Here is a 24,130-nt window from a genome sequence, read left to right as displayed (position 1 = left end):
TCTGTGGATCTTTAATGAAATATCACTACAACAAAAATGAATTCTGAAGTCCCCTTTTCATAATAGTGAGATTTTTACCTGTTCCCTAATGCATGTGATTGCAAGCTTCCTGACCTGTGATTTCAGAAAGCATCCTCCTTTTTGTTCCCAAAGCAACGTCCTAGCTACCAAGTGCGTTGAGTGTTCAACAAAAGGCCATACACTAGAGTACTGTATGTGCTGGGGCAGGGATGGAGAGTAGGCAGGTGCTCTGCTATATGTTTCAGTAATTAGAGAATTTCATCATTTGAATTTGACTGGGCTCTCTTTCATTCCTAACAACATGAGCCATTTCAGCTGTGCTATACCATTGCATTAAAAGGTCACATTTCCACTGTCAGAGCAAAAAGTGAAAAATTGAAGAATTCTATTATACAAATAATGCAGATTCTGTTTTTTTTTTTCATTTTTGCCTAATGTTACTCAGGTAATTATTCCATTGTGTTTTGACCTCAGAATGTAATTACTGACAAAGAAATAAAGATTAAATATATCTTTACAGTGTAAACAACTCTGTTGCCATCCTTTGTTACAGCCAGGTTTAAAACTTAAAATGAATCTATGAGATGGGGAAAAATTTAACATAAATACAAGCTGTTAAAATGGAATGCTGTTATGTTTAGTATACTGTTAGTATTTTGTAGAGTATAATGCTTAGGGAGCTGCATCTTACTTCTTCATTCATAGCCATCATGTTTCTACCAAAAAGAAGAGATATTGAACAACCCCTTTCTCTATCCCCTGCTGCTGACTGTGTAGTAGGCGATGGGACATTTCACTGATCGCTTCTGCATTTGTATTAGGATCTTCTTTTTCTTGTTTGATTTAAACCATAAAGAACTGTTGTTGCATGCTGATGAGACACTGGGTAAAGTCTCCAGTTAGGTTTTTCTTTTTTTCATTTAGCTAATTTGTTTCAGAAAGTTAGACACCTGTCTTGCTTTTAATCAGGATCCTCTAAGGTCAGTTAAAATCATTTTCCCATAGCTGTTTAAGATGTGCATGTGGCTGGCTGCCTGACCAGGTGAATAAGTAAACATTTCAGTCATTGCTCATGAGAATAAATCACCTTGCTTGGATGGGGCTTGGAGAGAAAAGTGAATCAAATGCCACAGAGTCTTAACTGTAGCTGTCTCCCTGCTTGGTGGAATGCCTCCATCCTTTGTGATGCAAATAGTAATTTATTTCTTCCCAACAGCAGGTCAGCCACAAGGATTTAGTTTCCTTCCAAGGTAGGGGAGCTGATTTAACCTGCCGCTATGCTTTTCTACAAGATTCTTATTTACAACAGTTTCTTAATGAGTTATGTCAGAGTAGCTGCTGGTATGATCCTTTTGATATCAGGGCCTGTGAAGCAGAATGGTTAATGATGAACGCCTTGCTAGTTTCAGTGAACATTACAGAGTGACTGACTACAGCACCATGGACTAGATGCCAAACTCATAATAAATGGAACAGTGCCACCTTTTGGCCATAAAGTAGGGACACAAACTAGGAAGGCTAGGATTCTGTAAGTCACACAGTTTATTTAAAACTATTTATGACGGATTTAGTGGTCATGCAATCCTCAAATAATAGCAACCAAATTCTATTTTTCTCTTTATTTTCTTCCTTTTTTCCCCCACTGTGGCAGTATCTATGCTTTGACTGTATGCATTTCATATAATAATGATGCTTTGGAGAGGCTAAATTTTGCTACATTCCAATTATGTTTTGCACAAGAATGAATTAAGCATGCATTATGCAGATAATATGAAGGATAACATGGTTACCATTGTACATATAGCAACTTCTTTTATACAGTGACAACTAGTTTGTGGAAACTTTTGGAAAGAATTTTGAAAGAAGGCAATTAATTGAGTATTGCAGTATTTGTTTATGATTGTGAATTGGACACTGATTTTAATTTAAAAAAATATTTTGGGTCTGCCTTTTTCTTTCCCTATGTATTGTTTCTCGTGAAGCAATAACACACCAATTAATTTGAGTATAGTTAATCAAAAACATTCACACATTGAAATTCATTTTTCTCTATCCATTTTTTAGGAACATTTTATTTTGTAGAGCAGTTTCAGGTTCACAAAAAAGTTGAGAGAAAGATACAGATTTCCCATATACTCCCTGCCTTCCACACGTGCATAGCCTCCTCTGTCATCAACATTCCCCACCAGAGTGGTTTGTTAAAATTGGTGAACCTACACTGACATATTGTAATCACTCAAAGTTCATATTTGACCTTAGGGTTCACTCTTGGTATTTATTATACATTTGAAGGGTTTGGATAAATGTACAATGTTATCTGTCTACCATTGTAGTATCCATACTCAATTTTTAGAAGAAAGAGGCAAGTTAGCAGACAGCTTTGTGATAGTAAGGGTTTAATCAAGAAAGAAAATCTCAGGGTATGTCATGACAGATATCAATAAGCAATCAGCCCAATTTCCTATACCATTTACAGTTTAGTCGAAGTCAAATGGTGATAGATGTCCAGAACATGAAAAACTTGTATTCTATAATTCTAAAAAAATTCTAAAATAAACAAAAATATGTTCACTGGCTACTTACTGCAAGACAAAAAGTTTTTTTGTGTTCAAAATTAGTGCATAGCTCACAATCCTAAAAGAATATTGCAACATTCATTTAAATTTTCTTTTTATAAAAAATTTCCCAAATATTTTCTCATATCAGTTGTCACTGCATAAAATAAACTTCCATGCATACTGAAACATTTTTAAAAGTTTTTGACATTTATTAAATGAGAAGTTTAATCTGCATCTTAATGGTAAATTATTGGAGACAGTTTCCCTCCAATCTTAAGTGGACATTTAGGCATTTCAGCAAAATTGGTAAAAGTTATTTTTGAACTATTGGACCTTTCCAACAGTGAAGGTTGATGCTTATTCGACTAGACATAGGACACCTTTTCAAAGTGAGAGAGGGTGAAAACTTGTTTCTGTGGGTGACTTAATGGCTCTTATTCAAATGCCACCCACACCTTAGGCCTTCTATTGGATTGATGTATTTAATCATAACCCTTGGGCTGGCTCCTGAGGCTTTTCCACCTAGCTTCTATATTTTGGTGTTATCATTCTAGACAAAGTTTTAAAATGAGTAGAATGTTTGCTTTTTTTTTTCAAATCATCAATACTATGTAATCCAGCATGTTTCCCATTGTGTCTTAGTAGCTAGAAAATGAAGAAAATGTCAGTCCCAAACAGTAGTAACTAATATATCTCAGGTACCCAAGAACATTAAGTTTCTCCAGATCTCTTTGATGATCCCTATTCTGTTTATCATATTAATTATCATGAATTGCATTACACTTTATTTTGATAGGTTTTAGTCACCTCAGGCTGCCGTAACAGACTGGGAGGCTTAAACAACAGAAATTTATTTCTCGTAGTTCTGGAGGCTGGAATGTCCAAGGTCAGGGTGCCAACAAAACAGATTACATCCTGAGGCCTCTTGGTTTGTAGGTTGTGTGCTCACATGACCCCTTTCTTTGTGCATGTGCAGAAACAGAGAGAAGACAGAGAGAGAGAGAGAGAGAGAGAGAAACAGAGTGAAAGAGCGAGTTCTGGTGTCTCTTCTTATAAGGGCACTAGGGGGCTCTACTGTCATGACCTCATCTCATCCTAATTACCTCTGGAAGGCCCCATCTCCAAATACCATCACACTGGGAGTTAGGGCTTCAACATATGAATTTTGGAGGGACACAATCATTCTATCAAAAACAGATAGTTTCTTCAAATCCTTTAGGAAATAAATAGGGCTCAACTATAAAACTCTAAAATATCACATGTGCAAGAGCTTGTGTTAGGCACTGAAGAAGATAGAAATATATTTAAAATAAGAATTCTACTTTTGAAGAGTTTTTACTTGTCATTAAAACAAATGCAAATACAGTCATACAGCCCATAATGTTTGGGTCAATGACAAATCACATATGTGATAGTGGTTCCTTAAGATTATAATGAAGCTGAAAAATTCCTGTTGCCTGGTGGCATTGTAGCTGTCAAAATGTCATAGTACAAAACATTGCCATGTACTTATGGTGATGTCAGTGTGAACAAACCTACTGTGCTGCTATTCATATAGAAGGACAGCACATACAATTATGTACAGTGTACAATACTTGATAATGATAATAAACGATTACATTACAGGTTAATGTATTTATTACTATTAATACTATACTATACTATACTATACCTTTATGATTAGAGTGTACTCCTTATTTAGAAAAGAGTTAACTGTAAAACAGCCCAGGCAGGTCCTTCAGGAGGTATTCCAGAAAAAAGACATTGTTATCATAGAAGGTGGAAGCTCCATGTGTATTATTGCCCCCAAAGGCCTTCCAGTGGGACAAGATGTGGAGGCAGAAGACAGTGTTATTGATGATCCTGACCCTGTGTAAGCCAGGCTAATGTGTGGGTTCATGTCTTCATTTTTAATAAAAAATTTAAAAAGTAAAAAAATAGACAATTAAAAATTAAAAATAGAAGAAAGCTTATCAGATAAGAATATAAAAAAGAAAATATTTTGTACAGCTTCACAATATGTTTGTGTTTTAAGCTACGTGTGATTACAAAAGAATCAAACAGTTAAAAATTTAAAGTTCATAAAGTACAAAAGTTAGAGTAAGCTGCTTATTTTGAAGAAAGAAAAATTTTTTTTAGTAAATCTAGTGTAGCCTAAGTGTACAGTATTAATAAAGTGTACAATAGTAAACAATAATATCCTAGGTGTGCACATTTACTCACCACTCACCCACTGACTCACCGAGAGCAACTTCCAGTTTTGAAAGTTACTCCATTCATGGTACGTGCACTATAAAGGTGTAATCTTTTATACTGTATTTTTACTGTACTTTTTCTACATTTAGGTATGTTTAGATACACAAATACTATTATGTTACAGTTGCCTACAGTATTCAAAACTGTAACCTGCTGTATAGGTTTGTAGTCTAGAAGCAATATTATATAGTTTAGGTGTGCAGTAGGTTAGACCATCTAGGTTTATGTAAGTGCATTCTATGATGTTTGCACAAAGACAAATTGGCAGACACATTTTTCAGAACGTATCCCCATTGTTAAGTGGTGCATGACTGTGAGTAGATTGCATTTTGCTTTGTAAATTGAACTTACTTTCCAAAATTAGTATTTATAAATCATATATCTATAGTATTAAAACCAACAAAACATATTTCAAATCAAATTTTTGTCTTTTACATGCATAAAATGTGTTTAATTTATTATGTTTAGATATATAAATATTTTTATTCTTGCAGGAAGCAATATATTTAGTTTTTCTTTTCCACTTTGATAGAAAATACTACAAACAAATTTCATTCATTATCTCAATGCAGTTGTAGCATATTATACTTGATACGCTTCATACATAGATGTAATATACTGTATGATATATCAAAGGTAATGTATTTTTTCTTCTGTCAGAATGTACCAAATGATGGAAATTAAGAAGATTAAATAGATACTTATCCTTAAGTCAACATATATATAATTAAATATAATATTCTACTTAAGAAAACTGTCAGGATTGAGAGGCCATACGATTTATATTTTCTTTCTTAAATGTCTTGAAAATTCTTGTGATTTTTCTGTGTGTTTTTCTTTTACTTTTTAAAGAACCTACTTCAAAGCCTTCTTAAAAGTCACCGTTACTGCCTTCTAATGTATTGTAAACAAAGAGAACGTCCTTTCTTCAAATATGCAGGGCTCCTAAGAGATGTCCACTGGCGTGTCAAACAAAAATCAAGAACTTGCTCTTTTATCAGCATTATCAAGCCCATCCAGTAGTGAAAGACTAGTGGCAAAGGCACATGATGGGCCAAAATTCAGATTTATTTTACCAAATTCACTCCTCTCATATTTCAAGGAACAAAATCATGCACCAGTAGAAACCAAATTTCCTTCTGCTTTTTATCTTATTTCCTCTTTTTGATTCATAGCTCCTGTCAGCTTTGGGTAGAGATTTGCTGAACCATAAAATATCTGCCTGCTACTGTGGTTCATTATATAGGTTCAGTGCATGGTCGGCAATCTACAAGGTCTTCCTGATTCCAAATAACTCCCTCGACTGGCCTGGACTAGTACCTGACTAAAAAACACCTTCCCCACCACTGCTCCATCGTGAAGTAGAATATATGACCAATAAAAAGTAAAATGTAATATTCTTTAATAGACATTAGTACATTGAATTTTTCAGATCATTTAAATTTAAGTTGTGAAAAGGCCTTAGATAACACAACAAAGAGAGAACTGAAGGGATAGCTTTCACTATTAGGGGATGACTCCTTTGACTACATGATGCATAAATGCTGACTCTGAGAAGGGACTGTGTTTTTTTTTTTTTTTTTTTTTTTGCACAGATTTGTAATTTATTCAAAGAAGAAAAAATAGAAAATAAAAAAATTTACATTGATTTAAAAGGATTACTCATGAAAATTATTGAAGAAGAGTTATTTTCCTCTTTTTTGTTTTTATTTTTATTTATTTATTCAAGCCGCACATAATTAAACACAGTTGGATTATTTCTATTTCTTGTCTTCTAAATATTAGTCTTTAATTTTTAATTTTGCCTATGGGGGGTGAGGTTATACCATTTATTTTAATGGACCTCAAATGACTAAAACTGACTTAATCATTAGTAGGATATGAAACACACTATTTGTCCTCTCCTGCAAAACCTCTGGGAAGATATTGTATGGGAGTTCTTTTAGAAGTCAAGATACAGGTGTGCATGCAGGCCTTGGGTGAAGCTGTACAGAAGTGAAGAGGGGAGAAGATTTTATTAAAGATTAATTAGGGTTTCTTCATAATTTTACCTAAAATCCAATCTGTTCTGTATCTCTCAGTAAATTGTTACTGAAGGACAGACTCTTGAAAAAGTATAATGCAGAACAGGAATAGCAAGAAACTAGGCATTATGGGAGCCCTATACTACATTCTCAAATGATGTAAAAATTGTCAGATTTATTCCCAGATTATACTAAGATGTGTGTGCTGAAAGAATTTGGTTAACTATTTATTTCTTCCAGTGTACATTTTTATTTATTTATTTATTTATTTTAATTCCAATAGGTTTTTGGGGAACAGGTTGTGTTTGGTTACATGGATATGTTCTTTAGTGGTGATTTCTGAGATTTTGGTACACCCATCCCATGAGCAACCTACACTGTACCCAATGTGTAGTCTTATATCCCTTGCTTCCCTCTCTCTCTTCCCTCAATGTCCCCAAAGTCCGTTGTATCATTCTTATGCCTTTGTGTCCTCATAGCTTATCTCCACTTATAAGTGAGAACATATGATGGTTGGTTTTCGATTCCTGATTTAATTCATCTAGAATAATGGTCTCCAGCTCCATCCAGGTTGCTGTGCCATTATTTTGTTCCTTTTTATGGTTGAGTAGTATTCCATGGTGTGTGTGTGTATATAACATTTTCATTTTCCACTTGTTGATTGTTGGGTGTTTGGGCTGGTTCCATATTTTTGCAATTGTGAATTGTGCTGCTATAAACGTGTGTGCAAGTGTCGTTTTCATATAATGACTTCTTTTCCTCTGGGTAGATCCCCAGTAGTGGGATTGCTGGATCAAATGGCAGATCTAATTTTAGTTCTTTAAGGAAACTCCACACTGTTTTCCATAGTGGTTGTACTAGTTTGCATTCCCACCAGAAGTGTAAAAGTGTTCCCTTTCACCACATCCATGCCAACATCTATTATTTTTTATTTTTTTCATTAAGGCCATTTTTGCACGAGTAAGGTGGTATCACATTTTGGTTTTGATTTGCATTTCCCTGATAATCAGTGACATTGAACATTTTTCATACGTTTGTTGGCCATTGCATATTTTCTTTTGAGAATTTTCTATTCATGTCCTTAGCCCACTTTTAGAACTGATAAATGAATTCAGTAAAGTTTCAGGACAAAAAATCAATGTACACAAATCAGTAGCACTGCTGTACACCCACAGTGACCAAAATGAGAATCGAATCAAAAACTCAACCCCTTTTACAACAGCTCAAAAAATACTTAGGAATATACCTAACCAAGGAGGTAAAAGACCTCTACAAGGAAAACTATAAAACCCTTCTGAAAGGAATCATAGATAACACAAAGAAATGAAAACACATCATATGCTCATAGATGGGTAGAATCAATATTGTGAAAATGATGATACTGCAAGAAGCAATCTACAAACTCAATGCAATTCCCATGAAAATACCATCATCATTCTTCATAGAATTAGTAAAAATAATACTAAAATTCATATGGAACCAAAAAACAGCCTGCATAGCCAAAGCAAGACTGAGCAAAAAGAACAAATCTGGAGGCACCACATTACCTGACTTCAAACTAGACTACAAGGATATAGTCACCAAAACAGCATAGCACTGGCATAAAAATAGGCACATAGACCAATGGAGCTGAGAATAGAAAACTCAGAAGTAAATCCAAATATTACAGCCAACTGATCTTCAAGAAAGCAAACAAAAATATAAAGTAGGAAAAGGACATTCTACTCGACAAATGATGCTGGGATAACTGGCAATCCATGTGTAGAAGAATGAAACTGGATCCTCATCTCTCACCCTATACAAAAATCAATTCAAGATGGATCAAAGACTTTAACCTAAGACCTAAAACCATAAAAATTCTAGAAGATAACATCAGGAAAACCCTTCTAGACATTGGCTTAGGCAAAGGCTTCGTGATCAAGAACCTAAAAGCAAATGTAACACAAAGATAAATAGATGGAACTTAATTATACTAAAAAAACTTCTGCACAGCAAAAGAAGTAATCAGCAGAATAAACGGACAACCCACAGAATGGGGGAAAATCTTTGCAAACTATTCATCCGATAAAGGACTAATATCCAGAGTCTACAAGGAACTCAGATGAGTCAACAAGAAAAACATAAACAATCCCATCAAAAAGTGGGCATTTCTTCTACTGTACATTTTTATGTAGTGAAAATTACATTATGTTCTTTTGTTTCTAATTTTACTTTTCTTTGGGATAATTAATGCACATGGCAAGTACTCTAATAGTCTAAAAGTTACAGTGAAAAATGAGCATCCCAACCCTAATTCTCATGCTTTCTGTCCTGTTTCTCAGGTATAATTTATATTAGCAATTTTTTAGGTATTCTTCCAGAAATATTCTATGCATATACAATGATATCTGTGTGTATCTTCATTTATTCTAACCATAATGGAAGCATACTCTACACCTTGTTTTACATCTTCCTTTTTAAATTAAAAATGTATCTTAAATATCCTTCCATTTACATGTAAATACAGCTTTCTATTATTAATAGCTGTATGTTATTTTATTATATGGATGTATCATAATTTATGCAGTCCATCACCAAATTAAGGACATTTGGGTTGTTTCCAGTTTGTCTATACTATAAACAAATTTTTATAAGAGATATTCTTGCATGTTTACTTTGTGTGTATGTGCAAGCATATTTCTGAATAAATTCCTAGAGATGGAATTGCTGGTTGAAAGTGTATGTGCATTTTAAATTTCAATAAATATAAGTTATCATTAGGTTTTAATATTGTATTAGATAATGTGGTAGACATCCAACACTAAAGGATGACTGTGATTTAAGCTTAACAACAAATGTTGTTCCACATTAGAAAACATTAGAAAAAACTATTTTAAAATTCATATGGAACCAAAAAAAGACCTTGCATAGCCAAGACAATCCTAAGCAAAAGAACGAAGCTGGAGACATCACACTACCTGACTTCAAACTATACTACAAGGCCACAGTAACCAAACAGCATGGTACTGGTACAAAAACAGGCCAGTGGAACAGAATAGAGTACTCAGTAATAAAACCACACATCTACAGCCATCTGATCTTCAACAAATCCCACAAAAACAAGCAATGGAGAAAGAATTCCCTGTTTAATGAATGGTGCTGGGAGAACTGGCTAGCCATATGCAGAAAATTGAAACTGCATCTCTTCCTTACACCTTATACAAAAATTAACTCAAAATAGATTAAAGACTTAAATGTAAAACCCAAAACTATAAAAACCCTAGAAGAAAATCTAGGCAATACCATTGAGGACACAATCATGGACAAAGACTTCATGATGAAATTGCCAAAAGCAATCTCAACAAAAGCAAAAATTGACAAATGGGATCTAATTAAACTAAAGAGATTCTGCCCAGCAAATGAAACTATCATCAAAGTGAACACAAAACCTACAGAATGGAAGAAAATTTTTGCAATCTATCCACCTGACAAAGGGCTAATATCCAGAATCTACAAGAAACTTAAGGAAATTTACAAGAAAAATATCCAGACAACCCCATTAAAAAGTGGGCAAAAGACATGAACACTTCTCAAAAGAAGACATACGTGCTGCCCACAAACATGAAAAACAGCTCAACACCACTGATCATTAGAGAAATGGAAATCAAAACCACAATGAGATACCTTCTCACACCAGTCAGAACGGCAATCATTATAAAGTCAAGAAACAACAAAGTGCTGGTGAGGATGTGGAGTAATAGGAATGCTTTTACACTGTTGGTGGGAATGTAAATTAGTTCAACCATTGTGGAAGACAGTGTGGCAATTCCCCAGTGATAAAGAGCCGGAAATGCCATTTGACCCAGCAACCCCATTACTGAGTATATACCCAAAGGAATACAAATCATTCTGTTATAAAGATACATACACGTGTATGTTCATTGCAGCACTATTCACGATAGCAAAGACATGGAATCAACCCAAATGCCCATCAATGATAGACTGGAAAAAGAAAATGTGTTATATATACACTGTGGAATACTGTGCGGCCATAAAAAGGAATGAGGTCATGTAATTTGCAGGGACATGGATGAAGCTGAAAGCCATTATTCTCAGCAAACTAACGCAGGAACAGAAAATCAAACACTGCATGTCCTCACTTATAAGGGAGAGCTGAACATTGAGAACACATGGAAACAGGGAGGGGAACAACACTTGGGCCTGCAGGGGGAAGGTGGATGGGGAGAGCACTAGGGAAAAGAGCTAATGCATGCTGGGCTTAATACCTACGTAATGGGTTGATAGGTGCAGCAAACAACCATGGCACACGTTTACCCATGTAACAAACCTGCACATCCGGCACATGTACCCCGGATTTTTTTTTTTTTTTAAAGAATTACAAAAAAATGTTGTTCCACATTTGTTTGTTAAGCAAATATGTCTTTAGCATCTATTACATACCAGATATCGATCTAGGTATTAGAAAGACAGCAGAGTTTCTTCTCTCAGATTCTAGTACAGAGTGTATATGGTTGATATGAAGGACAGTTTGCATAGTTGTTCTCATTTATTCATGCCTGAGGCTTAGAAAAGATAGATCTGGCTGCCTGTATTTCTTCTGTCTTGCATTTCCTTTTTTTACTAGTGCTACTATTGTTGTAAGTATGAGTCTTGGGGCCAGAGAAGAATGTACAGAAATTCTATTGGGACAGCTTAAAAAATGTCCCACTTCTCCTAGCAAGCTGTACCCCCAGGTTATTGCTAATAAAGAGCAATTGCAAACTATACCTTTCTGATATAAGTCATCCTTCTTAATCTGAATATTTTCTTCTAATAATTGACTTCCTTGAATACTCAACATTTTCCACATGTCAGCTCTTGATACTTAAAAGCAGTTTCATAGATTCATGTTCCATGTGTAAGGTAATGCAATGTCCACATTGGGTTTTCGAGCACAGCTGCTTCTAGTCAGCAGTAATAAAGTAATCCCTATACCCAATTATGTGACCAAACACTTAACCACAGCCTGTGTACCCAACAAATTATTGGTTGGTTGCTGCCTCTATTCAGAAGTTGGGAATGGTAATTATGGAAGTAGCATATTTCATATTGTGATACCACAGGCAAGATGAGTAAGGCATTTGTTTAGAACAGCTGGTTCTTTGGATGGACGGAAACCCAGATGGAGTAGTTCTGAGTGACTGAGCATTAGTAAGCTTATGTAGGGCTCTGGCAACAGTCATCTCTGCTTTGGGAAGATTTCAGTCAGTCATTACCCGCTAAGAACTTGGAACAAGAAACTAGAAAGTAAAGAAGATACTTTGAGTGAAAAAAAGTGATTTAAAGAACAAATAAATATTTTATGTATACCAATCATGCATTATGGTTATTTTGGCATATTATAGCTTTTAGAAAGTATAAGCAAAACATAGCTAGACTAATAATAAAACAGAGAAGATTCAGATAAACACAATTCGAAATGACAAGGAGGATATCACTATTGACACCACAGAAATACAAACAACCATCAGAGAATAATACAAACATGTCTGTGCACATAAAATAGAAAATCTAGAAGCAATAGATAAATTCCTGGACACATACACCCTCCCCAGACTGAACTAGGAAGAAATTGAATCCCTGAATAGACCAATAACAAGTTCTGAAATTGAAGCAGTAATAAATAGCCTACCAACCAAAAGAAGCCCAGGATCAGATGGATTCACAGCTGAATTCTACCAGATGTACAACGAAGAGCTGGCAAACTGAATCCAGCAGCACACTGAAACGTTTTCCCATTATGGTCAAGTAGGCTTAAACACCAGGATGCAAGGCTGGTTCAACATACATAAATCAATAAATGTGATTCATCACATAAACAGAACTAAAGACAAAAACCACATGATTATCTCAATAGATGCAGAAAAGGCATTTGATAAAATGTAACATCCCTTCATGATAAAAACTCTCAATATGCTAGGTGCTGAAGGAACATACCTCCAAATAATAAAAGGCATATATGACAAACCCACAACCAATATCATACGGAATAGGCAAAAGCTGAAAGCATTCCCCTTGAAAACTGGCACACGACAAGGATGCCCTCTCTTACCACTCCTATTCAACATAGTATTGGAATTTGAGCACAGGAAAATCAGGCAAGAGAAATAAATATAGGGCATTCAAACAGGAAGGGAGGAAAACTATCTTTGTTTGCAGATGGCATGATCCTATATCTAGAAAACCCCATCGTCTCAGCCCAAAAGCTTTTAAAGCTGACAAACGACTTCAGCAAAGTCCCAGGATACAAGTTAAGGTGCAAAAATCGCTAGCATTTCTTTACGTTAACAACAGGCAAGCTGAGAACCAAATCACAAATGGACTCCCATTCACAATTGCCACAAAAAGAATAAAATAACGTAGGAATACAGCTAACAAGGGAAGTGAAGGACCTCTTCAAGAAGAACTACAAGCCACTGTTCAAGGAAATAAGACAGGACACAAATGGAAAAACACTCCATGCTCATGTATAGGAAGATCAATATCGTGAAAATGGTCATATCGCCTGAAGTAATTTGTAGATTCAGTACTATTTCCATTAAACTACCATTGACATTCTTCACAGAATTAGAGAAAACTACCTTAAAATTTATATGGAACCCAAAATGAGCCCAAATATCCAAGGCAATTTTAAACAAACAAACAAAAAACAAAGCTGGAGGCATCACGCTACCAGACTTCAAATTATACTCCAGGGCTACAGTAACCAGTACAACATGGTACTGATGTAAGAATAGACAGATAGATCAAGGGAAATAAGACTGCACATATACAAGCACCTAATCTTCAAGAAACCTGACAAAAAGCAAGCATTGGGTAAAGGATTCCCTGTTTAATAAATGGTGCTGGGATAATTGACCAGCCATATGCAGAAAACTGAAATTGGACCACTTCCTTACACCATATACAAAAATCAACTCAAAATGGATTAAAGACTTAAATGTAAAACCCAAAACTATAAAAAACCTGAAAGAAAACCTAGGCAATACCATTCAGGAAATAGGTATTGGCAAAGATTTCATGATGAAGATGCCAAAAGCAATTGCAACCGAAGCAAAAATTGACAAATGGGATCTAATGGGATCTAATGAAACTAAAGAGCTTCTGCACCGCAAAAGAAACTGTCATCAGAGTAAACAGACAACCTACAGAATGGGAGAAAATTTTTGAAACGTATGAACCTGACAAAGGTCTAATATCCAGTGTCTATAAGGAAATAAAACAAATTTAGAAGAAAAAACACCAACCCCATTAAAAAGTGGGCAAAAGACATGAACAGACACTTCTCAAAAGAAGACATACATGTGGCCAACAAACATAAAAAAAGCTCAATATCACTGATTATTAGAGAGATTCAAAAATGAGATACCATCTCACACCTGTCAGAATGTCTATTATTAAAAATTCAAAAAACAATAGATGCTGTTGAGGTTGTGGAGACAAAGGAACACTTTCACACTGTTGGTGGGAGTGTAAATTGCTTCAACCATGGTGGAAGACAGTGTGACAATTCCTCAAAGACCTAGAGGCATTAATCACATTCAAATCAGCAGTCCCTTTAGTGGATGTATGGCCTAAGGAATATAAATTGTTCTATTATAAAGATACATGCACGTGTATGTTCATTGCAGCATTATTTACAGTAGAAAAAAGATGGAATCAACGTAAATGCCCATCAATGATAGAATGGATAAGTAAAATGTGGTATATATATACCAAGTAGTACTATGCAGCCATAAAAAAGAACAAGATTATGTCCTTTATAGGGACATAGATGGAGCTGGAGGTCATTATTCTTAACAAACTAACGCAGGAACAGAAAACCAATCACTGTGTGTTCTCACTTATAGGTGGGAGCTGAATAATGAGAACACATGGACACATGAGGGAAAAACAATACACACTGGAGCCTCTTGGAGGGTGTGGAGTGGGAGGAACGATAGCATCAGGAAGAACAGTTAATGGATGCTGGGCTTAATACTTGGGCGATGGGGATGATCTGTGCAGCAAACCACCTTGGCACACATTTACCCATGCAACAAACCTGCGCATCCTGCACACGTATCCCTGAACCTAAATAAAAGTTGGAAAAAAATTAAAAGTTCTTCAAAAACTAAAAATAAAATTACCACATGATCCAGCAATCCAACTACTAAATGTGTATTCAAAAGAAAGAAAATGAGTCTGTCAAAGCGATATCTTCACTACTATGTTTATTGCTGCATTATTCACAGTAGCCAGACATTGAATCAGCCTGTGTTCATCAATTAATGAGTGAATAATGAAAATGTAGTGTGTATGTATATATATTCCACACACACACACATACACACACACACACACACACACAATGGAATATTCTTCAGCTCTACAAAGGAAGGAAATCATTTCACTTGTGACAATATGGATGAAACTGGAAGACATCATTTTAAGTGAAATAACCCAGATACAGAAAGACAAATACATAATCTTATTTTTATATGAAATTTTTTTAAAGAAAAACATTGAACTCATAGAATCGAAGAATAGAATGGTGGTGACCAGGGAGTGGGGATGGGGGGAGGATTGAGAAGGAAAAAAAACGACAACGTATAAGCAAAACAAATTACAAATTAGGCTTATAGTAAACTTTATGAAATTAAAATACATTTTATTTCACTCTGGCTATAAATAATATGCTATACTGACTTTTATTTATAACAAAATTGGGTGAAAAACAAATTGGAATTTGTACAATTTATATTCTCAAATATGAACAGATAATTGGAAAAAGACAGCTGATATTGCCAGTGGTGTCTCTGACTCTGGATTCTAGATATTCTTTTGGGATAACCTCTCTGGGTCATAATATACTGCCCAGATAATTCAGTAAACTATTTTTGTGTGCCAAGAGCTAGATGTCTATCAATCACTAAAATTTTTATATAAAATGAGGTATTTTTCTGAGAAAATTTAAATTTTTTTCCAGAAAGGATATATATTCCTGTGAGAAAAAATAAATGGCTATTCTAATTTTGGATCTTCCATGTGGAATATCATATTATCCCCTGAATATATTGAGGATTTTGATATATTTTGATAGATTTATTGACTTTTTGCATTTATTGATGACTGAACTGGTCATCTGTAAAGCAATGTTAATATGACTTAAGGAACCACAAGATATCTTTATGGTCCAGTTATTTCTCAAAAAGTAAATGTGAGCAACTACTTGATCATGCAGTCCATTGCTTGGTGCTGAACCATAACAGTAATTGAAACAGTACTTGAAATTGGTTACCATGGAATTTACATTCTACTCATGTGTTCTCTCGAAAAAATCAAGCATTTGCAAAAGGCTATGCAAAGAGACAATGTAAAAAAATGAAACCCTCATTTAATAAGACATTTATTTATTTTGTTCCATGAAGTAGTATAAACAAAAATAAAATAAGATAAATTCGATTTGGCTAAAAGGCCGCATAAGGTTAAAAAAAAAAGTTTCATAGGGGCAAATTTGTTGTTAGCAACTTCATTCCATGCATTCATTATATCATACCTAGCCAAATCTAGAAATTACCATTCTTACTTAAATATTTTCCTTTCTCTCATATATACTCAGGATTTTATGTTTCCCGCATAGTATTTGGTTGGTGCAAAAATAATCACGGTTTTTGCCATTGGTAAAACCAATATTGAAGACAGTTTTGCTAACAAGTAGCATCTTTTTTTCAGTTACATAAATTCTGTAGTTCCTAAGTCCCTGAAAAACGAGTAGGTAAACCTTATTTGATGTTTCTCTCTGCTTTTTGGAGGGAGGCACTGCTTGAATTCCCCGGTCTGCCTCTCCCAGTTTCCATACAAAATTTATTTACCACAGTTACCGGGGCATTATCCCCCTTCTGCTGGCTTAAAAAAAAAAACAACTTATAATTCATGGAATTTTTTTCTCCTACATTTCTCTAGTGTTTTTCAAGGGGGTTTCAGATGTGGAAAAATGGATTTGTGTGTGTGTGTTTGTGTGTGTGTGTGTGTGTATGCATGCACTTTTAGTGTTCCCTGAAAAGAACCAGTGAATGGGTAACATTTAGAGAATTCTTTAAATTTTTGATTCTTCAGAGGACTGCTGATTCTGATAGTCATAAAATCTGGCATTGGAACTTATGCTATAAGCTGCCCTGATTGCCGATATACACCCTGTTAAAACAGCATATTTGTGTGATCTCATCCTTAAAATATTTGGGGTAAGAGCATGAAGTATTTGAATAAGTATGGTAGACGAAATTTGTATTAATGTTGCTTAAAATATTACCCATACAATTTTTCTTTCAGTTCACTATGTCAGTAGTAGTTTTTTAAAGTACTTTAATGACCCCAAATAATTGAGAATTGGTATTAATTTTCATAAATCTTTACTTATCAAACATGAGTTTTGTTTCCTTAAACCCAGTAAAAGTCTAGAGCAATCATTTCTGAAAAGCAAAGTAATTTCTAGGTGTCCTTTGATTACTTTTTAGAGTTGTTACTATTTGTATAAAACATATATACCACAGATGAGGTATACCAATAAGTTTGAGATAGCTATATATCAAAACATTGAAAAATAATCTGTAGAAATACTAAGAATGATAGCAAAATCCATAGTGTTTTTTTTTTTGTTTGTTTTTTGTTTTTTGTTTTTTTTTTTTTCTGATACGGAGTCTTGCACTATCGCCCAGGCTGGAGTGCAATGGCGCAATCTCAGCTTACTGCAACCTCCGCCTCCTGAGTTCAAGCGATTCTCCTGCCCCAGCCTCAGGAGTAGATGGGATTACAAAAATCCATAACTTTTAACTCCAAATAACACATTTTTTTATTAGAAAAACTGAAACATTTCAAGATTGATACTGAATTTGATTGGTATATGTATGCAAATATCTAACACTTTCGTACATGTGTAGTCCTTTAAAAATCTCCCATTTGGGGCCAGGCACGGTGGCTCACGCCTGTAATCCCGGCACTTTGGGGGACTGAGGCGGGTGGATCACCTGAGGTCAGGAGTTCAAGACTAGCCCGACCAACATGGTGTCTCTGCTAAAAATACACGAATTAGCCAGTCATGGTGGCGGGCGCCTATAATCCTAGCTACTCAGGAGGCTGAGGCAGAAGAATCGCTTGAACCCGGGAGGCAGAGGTTGAAGTGAGCAGAGATCGCGCCACTGCACTACAGCCTGGGCAACGAGAGTGAAACTCTGTCTTAAAAAAAAAAAAACAAAAACTCCCATTTGGTTCCTAGTATCTTATATATATATTAAGGAGAAGACAGACTTCAGAAACATTTTTTATCTACATAGAAATTTGATTCCACATATATTCCAGAAAATGTACTATTGATTATAAATTTATTTCTGAATTCCAGTAAGTTTCTTTTCCTGATTCAGAACTCCTGTGTTTTTGTAGCCTATGCAGGTGTTGCTTTCATATTCAGGACAACTGACTCTAATTTATAAGACTCTAGTCAATAAAGTTCAATGCACTTGTGGTTGTACTGTCTGCTGCTTAGTATTTTCATATTAATGGAATAACAACATATGGCCTTTTTAACTACACCGAAAAAACAAATTCAGTGGGTTTCCAGTTTTGTGCCAAGATTCTATTGTTTTTCTTAGGTTGATAAGCACTGGGATTTGGCTGTTATCCAGGTATGTTTTTGATGAACGCTGCTTCTTATGAAAGAGAAAGGATATCACTACACCACATCAATATATGATTGCAAACTGCCCCCAGAAATTTTGTTTTGCCTTCTAAATTGGGGTTTGATCTTGTACTGCTTGCCACATTCATTTAAAAATTAGAATTTTTTATTTTATAAGCTTTAAAAATTTTTAACTGACTTTTTTGTAATCACACAAACACACACAACTCTGTACAAAAGTGTTTTCTTTCTTTATACCCTTATTCTATAAACGTTTTTCTATTTTTAATTTTTTTAACTTTTGCAACCATTTTGCTAAAAACTAAGACAAACATTTACATTAGTCTAGGCCTACCCAGGGTCAGATCATTAATATCACTGTCTTCTGCCTCCACATCTTGTCCCACTAGAAGGTCTTCAGGAGCAGTAACATGCAGGGAGCTGTCATCTCCTATGATAACAATGCCTTCTCCGGAATGACTCCTGAAGGACCTGCCTGAGGCTGTTTATGGTTAACTTTTTTAAAAATGAGTACACTGTAAAATAACAATAAAAATATAGAATAAATAAATACATAAATCAGTAAAATAATTGCTTATTATCATTATGAAGTATTACGTGCTGTGCATATACTTTTATTTATCTGGGAGCACAGTAGGTTTGTCCAAAGCAACTTCATCACAAACATATGAGTAATGTGTTGTGCTACAATGTTATGACATCACTAGGTGATAGAAATTTTTCAGCTCTATTATAGTCTTATGGGACCACCATCATATATGCAGTCTTTTGTTGACTGAAATGTTGTTATGCAGTACAAGACTATATAATCAGTAATGAAAGGAATATATTTCTTTCTAACTACTGCCTTCACTTTACTCTGTTACAGTTATCTATTGCTGCATAGCAGACTATTCCAAAACTTTGGGTTTAAATATAATAATTTATTATGTCTCACCATCCTGTGGGTCAGTACTTCACACTAGACATAGCGGGGATTGCATGTCTCTGCTTCACGACGTCTCAGGCATCAGCTCTGACAACTCAAATGGATGGAGACTGGAGCAGCTGGGGGCTGGCTAAGCCTGCCTGACTCTCTCTCTCTCTCTCTCTACCCCTCTTTCTCAGCACCACTAGGGCTTCCGCACAGTGTGGTAGCATTTGAGTAGTTGAATTTTTATTTCCAACTTTCATTTTAAGTTCAGGGGTACATGTTCAGGATGTGCAGGTTTTTACATAGGCAAATGTGTGCCATGGTGGCTTGCTGCACAGATCATCCCCATCACCCAAGCACTAAGCCCAGCAACCACTAACTATTCTTCTTCATTCTCTCCCTCCTCCCACACCCAGCCCTCCGACAGGCCCCAGTACGTGTTGTTCCCCACCATGTGTCCATGTGTTCTCCTCATGTATGGCTATGATTACTTTGAGTATGTTCCTTAAATACATAGTTTATTGAGAGCTTTTAACATGAAGGGATGTTACATTTTATCGAATGCCTTTTTTTCATCTATTGATATGATCATATGGTTCTTGTATTTAGTTCTGTTTATGGGATGAATCACATTTATTGATTTGTATATGTTGAACCAGGCTTGCATCCTGGGGTTGAAGCCTACTAGATAATGGTGAGTGACCTTTTTGATGTGGTTCTGGATTCAGTTTGCCAGTATTTTGTTAAGTATTTTTGCATTAATGTTCATCTATGGTATTGGCCTGAAGTTCTCTTTGTTGTTGTTGTTGTATCTCTGCCAGGTTTGTTATTAGGATGATGCTGGCCTCACAGAATGAGTTAGGGAGGGGTCCCTTCTTTTCAATTTTTTTGGAATAGTTTCAGTAGGAATGGTACCAGCTCTTCTTTGTACCTCTGGTAGAATTCAGCTATGAATTCTTCTAATCCTGGGCTTTTTTGATTGGTAGACTATTTATTACTGCCTCAATTTCAGAACTCATTATTGGACAATTCAGGGATTAAATTTCTTCCTGGTTCAGTCTTGGGAGGGTGTATGTTTTCAGGAATTTATCCATTTATTCTAGATTTTCTAATTATGTGAACAGAGGTGTTTTTAATATTCTATGATGATTGTTTGCGTTTCTGTGGGGTCAGTGGTAATATCCTCCTTGTTGTTTCTGATTGTGTTTATTTGAATATTCTCTCTTTTCTTCTTGATTTATCTAGCTGGTGGTCTAATTTATTAATTTTTTTTCAAAAAACCAACTCCTGGATTCGTTGGTCTTTGTAATAGTTATTTGTATCTCAATCTCCTTTAGTTCAGCTTTAATTTTGGTTATTTCCTGTCTTTGGCGTTGGTATGCTCTTGGTTCTCTAGTTCTTTTAGTTTTGATGTTAGGTTGTTAAATTGAGATCTTTCTTTTTGATGTGAACATTTACTGCTATAAATTGCCTTCTTAACACAGCCTTAGCTGTGTCCCAGAGATTCTTGTATGTTGTATCTTTTTTGTCATTAGTTTCAAAGAACTTCTTGATTTCTGCCTTAATTTCATTATTTACCCACAAATCATTCAGAAGATTCTTCACTTTCCATTTAAGTGTATGGTTTGAGATATTTTCTTAGTCTTAAATTCTATTTTAATTGTGCTGTGGTCCGAGAATGTGGTTGTTATGATTTCACTTCTTTTGCATTTCTGAGGAGTGTTTTATGTCTGATTATGTGATCAATTTTAGAGTATGTGCCATGTGGCAATGAGAAGAATGTATATTCTGTTGTTTTGGGGTAGACAGTTCTGTAGATGTCTGTCAGGTCCATTTGGTCCAGTGCTGAGTTTAGGTCATGAGTATGTTTGTTAATTTTTTACCTCAGTGATCTGTCTAATACTGTCAGTGGGGTGTTGAAGTCTCCCACTATTACTGTGTGGGAGTTTAAGTGTTTATGAAGGTCTCTAAGAACTTGCTTTATATATCTAGGTGCCCCTGTGTTGGGTGCTTATATGTTTAGGATAGTTGGGTCTTCTTGCTCAATTGAACCCTTTACCATCATATAATGCCCGTCTTTCTCTTTTTCTGACCTTCGTTGGTTTAAAGTCTGTTTCTTTTTTTCTGAAATTAGGATTGCAACCCCTACTTTTTTATGTTTTTCATTTGCTTGGTAGATTTTCCTCCATCCCTTTATTTTGAGCCAGTGGGTGTCATTGCATGTGAGATAGGTCTCTTAAAGACAGCATGCCATTGGGTCTTGCTTCTTTATCTAGCTTGCCACTCTCTGCCTTTTAGTTGGGGCATTTAGCCTGTTTATATTTAAGGTTAGTATTGAAATGTGTGGATTTGGTCTTGTCATCATGATGTTAGCTGATTACTATGCAGACTTACTGTTGTGGTTGCTTTATAGTATCACTGGTTTGTGTACTTAAGTGTGTTTTGTAGTGGCCAATAATGGTCTTTCCTATCCATATTTAGTGCTTCCTTCAGGAGGTCTTGTGAGGCAGGTCAGGTGGTAACAAATTCCCTCTGCATTTGCTTTTCTGAAAAGGACCTTATTTCTCCTTTGCTTATGATATTATCATAATTTAACTATATTATTAATTAGGATATTTGCTCTGTATGATGGCAATGGATATTATGTTTATTGAGACTTCAAATTTTACTCAGAATGTAAACACTTTTCTATGAGTGTTTGAAATAATTGGTACTCTGTAGTATTTATACTTATCCACTAGATGAGATTTGCTAGTTACATTGCTGAAATATTTTATACTCTTGCAGAATTATTTGGCTTTTCAATTTACTAAATAATGGGAAAGACATCAGCTAAAAAGCTCCAATTACAATTGTGGATTTTAAAATTTCTGTTTTATATCCATAATTGGTTGCTTTACATAATTTTTGGCTATTATTGGTACATACATATTTAGAATTGTTTTATGTTCTTGGTAAATTTACCTTTCATCATTATGTAGTTGTCCCTTTTATCACTTTACCATAAAGTTCAATGTATTTGGTATCAGTATAGCTAAACTAGTTTTATTTGAAATAGTATTTTTTATAATTTTTTCTTATACTTTTATTTACAGTCTTTTTTCCCTTTGTTTTAGTTGTATCTCATATGAACAAAGTATGGCTAGATGGAAAAAAATGTATGATGATCTTTATCTTTTAATAGGACCATTTAGTTCATTTACAGTTAAGTATTGCTATATTTAAGCTCATCTCCATCATCTTATTTTATGCCTTCTATTTGTACTATCTTTTATATATTTATTTTATTTTTATCTTCTTCTTTGACTTCATTTGGTTTTTTTCCCACTTATTTTTCCTCTATTATTTTAGAATTTATATACTCTGCACCTATTTCTTAAATTATAACCACAGGATCTTTAATGTGCTTACTTAATTTATCAGTGCTTAAATTAATGAATCTCTTTAAATTTCTCTAATTAATATGAGAATATTAGAGCACATTACTGACAGTAGTGTATTTTAATTCTATGTAATAACTTCATGAAATATTATTTTTACAGAGTCCATATTTACCACTTTCTTGACTATTCTTTCATTCATTTATCTTGAGCCTCCTATCTGGGATAATTTTCCTCCTGCTTGAAATATTTCCTGTGGCATTTTTTTAGTGGTGGTCTGTTGGTATAAATCTCAGTAAGTTTTGGGTAGCCTTAAATTCTCTTTATTCTATCCTTTTCTTTTTTTGCAGTCAGGAACAAGGTCTCACTCTGTCAACCAGGCTGGAGTGTACTGGCAAAATCATGGCTCACTGCAGTCTCAACCTCCTAGGGTCAAGCGATCCTCCCACCTCAGCCTCCTGAGTAGCTGAAACTACAGGCCTGAGGCACCACACCTGGCTAATTTTGTTCATTTTTTGTTGTAGAGATGAAGTTTCACTATGTTGCCCAGGCTGGTATTGGACTCCTGGGCTCAAGGGATCCTCCCACCTTGGCTTCCCAAAGTGCTAGGAAGCATGAGCCACCACACTGGGCCTACATCCCTTCTTAAAATATATTTCTCCTGGGAATAGATTTCTAGGTTGATGTCTCTTTTTTTTCCCTCAGCACAGAGAAAATACACGTTCACTGTATTCTGGGTTACAATGTTGCTTTTGGAAAGTCAGCCATCAGTGTACTTATACATTTTAATATGTGATTTGTCTTGTCTTTTCTGGCTGCATCTAAGATTTTTGTCTTTGTGGTATTCTTTACTTTTGCTATGATGTATACAAGGATGGATTCCTTTTTATGTAAACTCTTTGAGATTTGTTGTGCATGTTGAACTACCAGTTCAACAATCTATCACATTATTGTTTTAAATTCTATAATATTCTCAGCAGTTAAATCTTCAAACATTATACTTTCCTCTTTGTCTCCCTCCTCTCTTTTTGGAACTCCAATTATATGGGTGGTAAAACTTTTCACTCCATATTTCACATCTTTTAAATCCCTTTTACTATTTTTCATCTCTCTGTTTCTCCATGTCATGTGGCATACCAATTTCTTAAGATGTCTTCCAGTTTTCTATGTTGTTAATTTTATTTAATGATGTTGCCCACAAATGAGATTTTTTAAATTATTAAATTGCCATATTCTGACATTGTGTTCACTTGCCACTTTTAATA

This window comes from Homo sapiens, chromosome X (assembly GCF_000001405.40).
Source record: "Homo sapiens chromosome X, GRCh38.p14 Primary Assembly".
Classification (NCBI taxonomy): Eukaryota; Metazoa; Chordata; class Mammalia; order Primates; family Hominidae; genus Homo; species Homo sapiens.
The sequence above is the reverse complement of the archived record's forward strand: the minus strand, read 5'-3'. Positions refer to the sequence as shown.